The following is a 10,525-nucleotide window of genomic DNA, read 5'->3' as shown; positions in this document are numbered from 1 at the left end:
GCCTATTGTTTGCATTAGAGCCCAAGTTCCTCAGGACAGTGCCTAAGACCACAGGTGTTGAAAACAGACTTTCTGGGTTTGAATCCTGGCTCTGCATATTACTGAGTGTCTTTGGGCAAGATACTTAATATACCTGCCTTGTTTTGGGTTCTCCTGAGAACTTGGGTAAAGATGGTTTACTTCAAAGGTGATCCTGGGAAGCAGAAATGAGAAAAGTGAGACTTGGAAGGAAGAGAAGCCAATAGAGAGCATACAAATTATCTAGTTACCACTGGGGGCAACTGAGACTCAATTGTGTGGGGACCTTCTAAGGAACTATACATAGATTGCATCTCAGAAGCTGTCTCAGCCGTGATTCTTGCCTTCACTGGTTGAGAGTCCCCTCTGGTCATTAGCTCCCCGACACTTCCAAATTGTCAAGTGGTTGAGAAGCTTCCTGAGACTTCAAAGCTTCCCAAGGCAGCAAAGCAGAGCAATGCTGATGTCCTTAACCAATTAGCTAACTCCATGGCAGTGACTTTGGCCCTGCAACTCATCCTATGCAAAGAATAAAGTGTGCCAGAATGTTGCCATAGCATGCATTATCTCAATACCATATAAACAATTATAGGGAAGCCCCCATTAGTAAAATGCTAATGAATTGATGTGGGACCTGGGCAACATGCGTGGAACTGTATAACCAAAATGGACTGATACCAGGTGTAGCAGAGCGTGTAGCATGGTGCTCCAAAAGCGTCTGCTACAGTCCTTAAGCCATGGTTATTGCATCCGTGACAAGGGATTGCAATACACCTTCTCATAGAGTGATAATGATGATTAAATGATAATATACCGTTCCTAGGACATTTAATATGCTTGATCAATATTAGTGGTGATGAGGATGACAATGATGATGGGGATGAGTTATTCATCTTTTATTAAATCCCTAGTAATTCCAACTGAAATTAAGATCAACAGGCAGGTCATATTTTTCCTATTTCTATGTGACTGTATTATTGGTCAGATCTCTAATCTGGAGTTATTTGTCTAGAACCAGCTATTGAATATATCGTTGCATTAAACATAATTTATAGTTTGTGCTTTTAAGTTAAATAACCACTAAAAAGACAAAAATAGCAAGTGATAATCCTGTACATCTGTAACCATAAAAGTTTTAAAAATAAATTTATAAGAGTACAGAGTACAGAAAACCAGGGATTGGGAGGGCGTGTGCTTAATTTTAGTCATTCATGAAAGATTTAATCCATATGGTCTTCTTCATCTTTCTAGGTTTGTTTTACATTTTGGATCCCCAAATATTAAATGTTATCTTCTTTGTTCTCATAAATACCACATCAGTACCTTTCTCTTTCTTAAAAATCTTCCATTCCTTTTTTTTTTTTTTGAGATGGGGTCTTGCTTTGTTGCCCAGGCTGGAGTGCTGTGGCACAATTTCAGCTCACTGCAACCTTCGCCTCTGGGGCTCAAGTGATCCTCTCACCTCAACCTCCTAAGTAGCTGGGACTACAGGCGCACGTCATTATGCCTGGCTAATTTTTTGTATTTTTGGTAGAGACGGGGGTCTCATTATGTTGCCTGGACTAATCTTGAACTACTGAGTTCAAGCGATCCACCCACCTCGGCCTCCCAAAGTGTTGGGATTACAGGTGTGAACCCCCCCATGCCTGGCCCAAAATCTTCCATTGTTTAGGAAGCCATGTGTTTGGTTCAAGTCTGAGTTCTACTATTGTTTACTAGTTCTGTGATGTTGGGTAAGTTACCTAGCTTTATTTTCCTCATTCTAACAACAACAAAACCCTAAAAAATGTTAGCACTCTTGTCTTGTACTTTCTTAGTAGCAAATCCCTCTTTCTTTCCATTGTGCTGGAATGTCCCTAAGAACAAAATTAAAATTGGCAGGGGATTTTAAAGCTGTAGTTCCTTCCACCTCTCCGTATATTCTTAGGGAGAATATTTCCCCTTTTTTCTCACTCCCAAACCCACAGTTTTTCTAATATGTCTAAGATTAGTCCCACTGGCTTCTTTGGCAACCACAGAAGAGAAGCCTGGGTGAAGAGCAGGACCAGGGGAGGACAGTGGTATGGCTCCTGCATGGACAGGGGACCCGGGACATGTTACATTTCTCTGGCCTTTTGTGCTTTTTAAAGGCTCAAAACTGCTATTTTTAGAAGAAATCTTTAGCTGAGCATGGTGACTCACACCTGTAATCCCAGCACTTTGGGAGGCCAAGGCAGAAGGACCACTTAAAGCCAAGAGTTAGAGAACAGCCTGGGCAACACAGTGAGACCCTGTCTCTGCCAAAAAATAAAAATGAAATAATTAGCTGGCCATAGTGGTGCACACCTGAAGTCCAGCCACTCAAGAGGCTGAGGTGGGAGGACTGCTTGAACCCAGGGGTTTGAGGCTGCAGTGAGCTATGATAGCACAGCTGCACTCCAGTTGGGGCAACAGAGCAAGACCCTATCTCAAAAAAGAGTTTTAAAAAAGAAAAAACTTTAAATTTTCTTAGTAAGTCTTCCTTTCTTTTTTAATATATGGGGCCAAGTCAAATTGTACCCAACTACCTTTTTCATCACAAATTCTGATTTAGTCTAAAAATAATGAGTAATCATAAATCATAAACAAATAGAATAAAATTCACAACGTGCAGTATCTTAGGGTGCTGTGCTTAAGAAATAAGTAGCAAACTGAGTTTGAGGACATGGGTGGACAATTGTGCACACACTCTGGCATGCTACTCTTCTGTCTATCTCCCATTATGTTGTCATAATCTCTCTGAAGAGCGAGGCCACTGGGATCTATTGAACAGTCTCTTGCATCCATCTCCTCTTCCACCCCCACTGCTTGAATCAGTCCTGAAGTTGTTTAACAGCCCCGTCTCCTGGCTCACTCTTTTTCCATTAACCTCCCACATTGCATGAGTGATCTTTCTAAAACACACATCTTACCATGACACCTACCCACTTGAAACTCTTGATGGCTTCTCACCACCCCCTCCAGATACTACCCGTATATCTTGGCACAATAAACGAAGCCCCTTTACAACCTAGCCTGGGCCCACCTCTCCAGATACGCCTTCATCTGTTCTTCCCCACCTTCCCATCACTCACTATTGTTTACCTGAACATCCTGTGCACATTCCAGCCTCATTTCTGTGCACTCATTGAAACCCACTTGAAACTCTTGATGGCATCTCACCACCCACTCCAGATAGTACATGAACATCTTAGCACAGTAAACAAAGCCCTTTTACAACCTCACCTGAGCCCAGCTCTCCAGTTATGCCTCCATCTGTTCTCTTCACCAACCCCATCACTCACTATTGTTTACCTGAATATCCTGCACACATTCCAGCCTCAATCCTTCTCTCCTACATTTGCCTCTGCCTGGAATTCCTCTTTTCACTTTGCTTTCCTAAGCTGCCTATTCTAAGCCAGAAATAATCAACCACCCTATACCTTTGTAATTTTATATAACACAAAACATTACAATTTATTATAACATATAACATATTATTGTGGTTATTTTTGTTTGCTTCTCTATATTCCAGCCTAAGACATCCAGCTCTGATGTGGTTTGGCTGTGTCCACACCCAAATCTCATCTTGAATTGTAGCTCCCATAATTCCTGTGTGTCACAGGAGGGACCTGGTGGGAGGTAATTGAATCATGGGGGCGGCTCTTTCCCATGCTGTTCTCATGAAAGTGAATAAGTCTCACAAGATCTGAAGGTTTTATAAAGAGGAATTCCCCTACACATATTCTCTTGCCTGCCGCCATGTAAGAACGTGGCTTTGCTTCTCCTTCACCTTCCACTATGATTGTGAGGCCTCTCCAGGCATGTGGAACTGTGAGTCAATTAAACCACTTTCCTTTATAAATTACCCAGTCTCAGATATGTCTTTATTAGCAGCGTGTAAGCAGACTAATACAAGTTCTCTCAAGACACGGACTACCTTATTTCCAGAACATAAATGATGCACAGAAATGTCAAGAACAAATATTGAGACATGATGGAGTTCAGTCAATTTTAATAAAGCAGGCAACCAGAAGTAGCCATTCAAAAGTACCTTACTAAAATCTTAATGAATTAAACTGCTAATAGCACACAAAAAACATCTTTCCCTAATCCTATTCCTCCCAACTAATTTAAAACAGCCTCTTGTGTCATGGCTGCCAATTTCGAAGTTTCTGTTTTACATTGCTCTCAACTTACACTGCAGTCACTTTGACAAAAAACAAGCATACAGGAGAATTTTGAATAAGAATGGTCAGAGAAAACAATGAGACAAGAACAGGAAATTGAAGAACATATTGTCTTGCTTATGAAGACCTCATAATAGAAAATAACATATTATAATATATTATATAGATGAAAAGGACAAAACCATTACCTGTATCATGCCTATTTAGCATGGCATTTCTTATGTGATAGAGCATCAATCCATTCACTCACCTGTGCGGTAAGACTGTGGCTGGCATTTGCTATGCAAAAAGACAGGAAATGCTCTTTGGGAAACTCTTACCAGGCCCTGACATGGGCAACACCCAGAGTATTGGAACTGCTCTGCAACCAAAACTATTGCGGCAAGTAAAAAGACCCTTGTCATGACACGACCCTTTACCTTTTAGGCATTTTATCTCTTTCTGAAAGGACTATCTGAATGATCCAATGGACAAGATCATGAACTCCTCCTACAGGAGTATCAGGTCTAGATCCCTGTTCTGCTGCCAAGTAGTTACTGTTTTCTAGTTTAAGTGGTAAAAGTCAAAGAAATATTTTTGAGTCTATTTGCAAAAAGTTTCCTATGTAGAGGTATGAGTAATCACACTCATTAGTCTAACAAACCTCCACTGAGCACCTACTTTGCACAAGTCAGAGTGTCAGGGGACTCTAGAGGAGAATGGACCAGGTTCCTCTTCTCCAGGGGATGAGAATGTGGTTGAGAGTGTCTCAGTCAGTTCAAGCTGCTACAGCAAATCTATCATAGACTGGGTGGCTTAAATAACAGATATTTTTGCATAAATGGCTCTAAGGGAAATTTCCAAAGTAAAGTTCCTAAAAGCATTTGAACAGAAACCTCTTTGTTTGCTTGTTTTTTTTAATTCAGGGTCTTGCTCTGCTGCCTGGGCTGAAGTGCAGTGGTTCTGTCATAGCTCACTGCAGCCTTGAGCTCCTAGGCTCAAATGATTCTCCTGCCTTAGCCTCCTGAGTAGCTGGGACTACAGGTGTGTGCCACCATGTCTGGCTCATTTTTATATTTTTTTGTAGAGATGGGGTCTTGCTATGTTACTCAAGGTGAGTAACCTTTTTTTTTTTTGAGAGAACATATAGATTCTCAGAAGGAATTTGGAGGACAACGTTTATCTGTATGCATAGATTTTGGAATCTTAAAGGGGCAGAAGTAGAGGCACAGAGTGTCCCCGTAATGATCCTTGGAGAGTCTGGGCTCTTCATAGTGTACTAGGCCCTTTTATCTGTGTGATTTGAGGAGGTTTTCTTTTACATATGTTCTTACACGTATACTACTAATGTGGGTACTATTGTCCAGTTTGAAGGTGTATAGGTCAACTGAGTGGGGCTTGCATGGCTAGTTTTCCAGGCCGGACCTCATGGATTGGCTTTAACACTTTCAAATCTGGTTCTTCACTTTGTGATCCAGGAACTTGACTTTTTCAGCCTACCAAAACAGTCATCTGACTTAAGGTAACAATACCTACCAAATTATCAATTTATCATCAGGGCCGTTCTTTTACAATGACAGACATAGTCATGTCCGCCCTTCAGCAAGCTCTTCCTGGTTTCAAGATATCTTAAAGCCTGTGTGAAAACAAATCAGTAGTTTGCTCTATGAGCATGCATTCAGAGCAAAGGGAGGTTGACAGAAATGGCAGAGTATCTTCAGAAGCTAAGTGAGTCATTTCTAACTCAGAGCAGAGTATAGCCCTTACTAAGTGTATTTGTTTTCCTTAGGGTCAGAGTCAACATCAGCTGGAAGGACACTACTGACTTTGGTTGTTCTGATCCCCTTTTCTGTATTTTCATGTAGGCCACCCGCTCGCGTTGCAATATTCTTTATTAAGCAATACTAATATACTCAGATCAATTCTATATTTCTATTTTTGAGCCAGAACTCTTAAAATCTACTCCTCCACCCCCGCTTTTTTTAGAATTTGGCTACCTTTTGCCAACGTGTTCATGTTTTTCAGTCAAGTCAGTTCTTTGCCCCCTGCCTCCACAGCTAAGCTATGCTGCCTGCACAGATGTAGCTTGCTATGAATGGGATAAATCAGAGAGCTCCATGCAAGAAGTTATTTATAAAACTTGCATTTTGCTCACTGAGATAGCTGTAAAAACAGTGCTGGAGAAAATTAAAGAAATAATATAGCACTATTCCCTATAAGCTTTTATCATAGACTCCAGCCATTTATATTTTGCCCCTTGTTAGTTTGTTCTCCATAAAACTCCCTTACAAAACCCCAGAAGAGATCTTCAGACAATAAGCACAGTCACATCAGATGACTATTCAGGTTCTTAATACGGTTTTTCCATTTGGGATGTGCTATTCCAGATCCTATCTGCTCACACCTTTATTAACTTGGTCTTTAAATGTCTTTATGTTTATTTAGTTAATATTCATGATGAAATGCCATGCTCCCCATTTGCAGTGTGTACTCATTTTGTTTTGACTAAACCTTTAAAAAATCATTATTGACTTATAGTGGATATTCACCTATTCCTTGAAGTTATAACCTTATCTATAATGCAAATATAATGCCAATACCAATTTACATTAGATTTTACCCACCGTATCAGTCTTATATGACTTTCAGCTTTTTGACCTCCAAAGATGGAATTTGTGTTGTGTTCTAGGAGATGAGACTCTTCTATCAAGTGACAATAAGTTGAAGGCATCCACAATTCTAACTCATTTTCCTCCTCCTCAACCCTAGGGAACTTTGGAGCACTGTAGCAGCTGCTGCATTGCCTCACCTGGATTCCTCTCCCTGCCCCTTCAGCATATTCTAGCCCACTTCCAGCTGCGGGTACCTGCACCTCTTTGCCTGAGGGCATTTTGGGACCATGTGCTTTGCCCAGATGCAAAATGGCAGTCCAGAAAGAAGAAATGGGGAAATTAATATCCCTGAGAACCCTTAACTGAGGACTAATGGGACTTGGTGTACAAATACCCCAGAGTACTTTTCAAAATGCACACTGAAATGTGTTCTTGGGAGAAAATCAGTTTGGGAATTCAGGAATACTGGCTGGGCACTGTGGCTCACGCCTGTAATCCCAGCACTTTGGGAGGCCAAGGTGGGCAGATCACTTGAGGTCAGGAGTTGGAGACCTGCCTGGCCAACATGGTGAAACCCTGTCTCTACTAAAAATACAAAAATTAGCTGGGTGCAGTGGCAGGCACCTGTAATCCCAGCTACTTGGAAGGCTCAAGAACGAGAATGGCTTGAACCCAGGAGGCAGAGGTTGCAGTGAGCCAAGATGGTGCCACTGCACTCCTGGGTTAAAAATGAGAGCCTGGTGACAAAATGAGACTTTGCTTAAAAAAAAAAAAAAAAAAGTTGGGGGGTGGAATTCAGGAATATTGATTTGCTCTAACTCTGGCAGAGGGACTTTACTAAGTATTTACTTGGGTGAAAAACTGTATAAATATCCATTTCTTTGAGAACCTTATGTTGTAGTTAGAGTGATAAGACCAATACATGTGTGCAGTAAAGGATTAACTCAGCAGGTCTGGGTTGCTCAAATCCTGTACATTCCAAAGAAGGTCTTTCTTCATAGGACTGGTCCTTGACTGGCCAGTCCTGGTAGATAACGTCTGAGCCCTTGGAATATCCTGCCTGATGAAGCGTGTTTTCATATGCCAGAGGGTCCTGGACCATGCTGTATCAATTTGACATAAGTAGAGGGGTGGGGCTGTAGGCTGAGCAATTAAAGTCAGCCATGCCTACCTGACCAATTTGCAATAATAACCCTGGATACCAAGACTTATGTGAGCTTTCCTGACTGGCAATAATTCACACATGTTGTCACATACCATTGCTTGGAGGATTAAATGCATTCCCATACAACTCCACCCAGAAGCTTGTGCCTGGTATCTCCTGGACATTGTCTCATATACCTTTCCCATTTGCCGGTTTTAGTATGTACTCATTTCTCTGTAATAAGCAGTAATCATGAACATACCAGCTCTTTTGAGTTCTGTGAGTCTTTCTTGCAAATCTTCAAGCCCAACTGTAGCCTTAAGAACTTCCAATGAAGCATGTAACAGGCAAGACTAATCCCGGATGGCCCCTTAAGACAGCTTACTTAAGAGACAATCTAGAAAACAGAAGAGAAAGAAGGGAGAAAAGGCCATGTTATCAAGTTGATCGTCATTGTGAATGCCCAAGGCTTGATGCTGCTGGGATATTCTAAAGAGCCATAAAGTATCTCTCACAGCTGTCTTCCTGAAGAGGAGGTAGGAGCATTTATCCATCCATCCCCACTACCATTGTATCAAGGATTTTTTTCAGAAGGATAATGACTCCCTTAAACTTTGAACATTTAGGTTGTATAGGCCATTGTAATGCCACTAGTAAAAGATGGGCTGAGAGGATGTGAAGTGGAGCATAAGAGATGTCCACTGCAGTTCACCCGTACCACAAGATCCACTGTGTCCTACATGAAGTCCAATCCAAAGCCTTCAAGATGGTGGCTGGCAACAATCTACAAAAGACTCAATTCAGGAAAGTTAATAGAACGGGTTATACTCCACACTGCTGCAGTGGTCCCAAAGCTATAGTTGGTATTTATAATCTATCTCCTCTTTCATCCATTCTAGATTCCTTTCACCCTTGGCCTGCAACCAAGGCCAGCAAAGAGCATGCTAGAGTAAAGGGAAGTTGCTACTATAGGAAATGAGCTTCCAGAACCTATGACAGGAGCTTTATGAAATGTGTTGGATTTTTATTAAAATTCAAGCTGATCCACACTGGTTCTGTTGGACCCTAGGCATGGGAATGATTGCTGGCTGTATAAATAATAACTATTTTGTGAATAATTCTCTCCACCGTTACTGGATAGAATATGTTGTATCCATTATGTGTTTTGCAGCAGGAAAAAAATTTTGAAAACTACTGATCCAGTAAACAACTAATATTATATCTGTAATCTTGATTTGAATTTAAAATTTTCTGGAAAGTAAAGGAAACATCTTGATTAAATATTATTATCCATAATATTTTAGGCAAAGAAATACTTTTTATGCTTATATAAGAATTAACCCTTTTGTTTTCTTTGTATAAATGCTGGAATCCTATTTCATAACACAGCTCACTAAGGCCCTTAACTTTTGTTTTGTTTTGTTTTGTTTTTGAGATGGAGTTGCACTGTGTTGCCCAGGCTGGAGTACAGTGGTGTGATCTTGGCTCACTGCAATCTCTGCCCCCTGAGTTCAAGTGATTCTCCTGCCTGAGCCTCCCGAGTAGTGGGAGTACAGGCACACACCACCACGCCCAGCTAGTTTCTGTATTTTTAGTAGAGATGGGGTTTCACCATGTTGTCCAGGCTGGTCTCAAACTCCTGACCTCAGGTGATCTGTCCACATTAGCCTCCCAGAGTGCTGGAATTACAGGTGTGAGGCAACAGGCCCAGCCACTAAGGCCCTTAACTTATTACAGTGTGCTAGTTACATTTAGACAACTAAATAAAAATCTTATGCCATCCAATATAAAAATAAAATCATTAGAGAAATTTAATTATAAGAAAAGCCCAGGAGAAGGAAAACCATACACAGACACCAGACATACACACAGACATACAATATTATTAATTTTTAAAATTAATATCCTACTTAAGATGTCAAAACTTAGTTTTGATAGAGGCAGACAAATGCCTAGGCAGATAGGGGGCAGATCCCCAGCAAAACCCCATCTCCAAGCTGAAGACAGTTTAAAGCCTGAAAGCCAAGCTACAAGTTAAATCCTCAGACTGGATTGAGAACTTGTCCTCCCATTTGGTGCACCTTCCTCTGATTAGTTCCCATCCTTCACCTATTTTACATATACCTACCCTTTCCTAATTGGTTTTCTACACTGTCATGCCCACCTTTGAGTGGTGTCATCCCTTTAACTTTTTTTGCATACTCACAAACCAATCAGCATGCACTCCCCATTCTGAGTCCATAAAAGGCCCCAGACCCAGCCACACAAGGGATCCATCCCCGCCCTGTCCCCTTTCCACTGAAAGCCATTTACATTGCTCAATACAATTATTCTCCACCCTCTTCACCCTCCAATGTCTTGCATATTCTCATTCTTTTTGTGCGCGGTACAAGAGCTCAGGAACAAATGTGGGTACAAGCTATAACACAGGCAAGCTGAGGCACACCAGTGTGGCTGAGGAAGGCCCTGCATGGAGCATTGCTGTCCAGGGGTCATCGGCTTGCAAAGTGAGAAGAAAAGTCCTGCATCCGTTTGATGTCAGGCCTATATTTGGCCAAGGGACTTGATAACAGCGCTAATCTATC

General features: G+C 41.3%; 1 long non-coding RNA gene across 1 annotated transcript; it reads right to left on the bottom strand.

Moving 5' to 3' along the window:
- Positions 1-136: 136 nt before the first annotated feature.
- LOC105377660 (uncharacterized) lies at positions 137-8,320 on the bottom strand. Its single transcript, XR_941061.1, has 3 exons — positions 8,203-8,320; positions 5,721-5,820; positions 137-193 (listed from the first exon to the last, which is right to left on the bottom strand). It is a non-coding gene; the product is annotated as an uncharacterized LOC105377660 (long non-coding RNA).
- Between the last annotated feature and the right edge of the window lie 2,205 nt (positions 8,321-10,525).

The sequence above is a fragment of the Homo sapiens genome, chromosome 4 (genome assembly GCF_000001405.40).
Source record: "Homo sapiens chromosome 4, GRCh38.p14 Primary Assembly".
Taxonomy (NCBI): Eukaryota; Metazoa; Chordata; class Mammalia; order Primates; family Hominidae; genus Homo; species Homo sapiens.
This window is presented reverse-complemented; position numbering and strand designations above follow the sequence as displayed.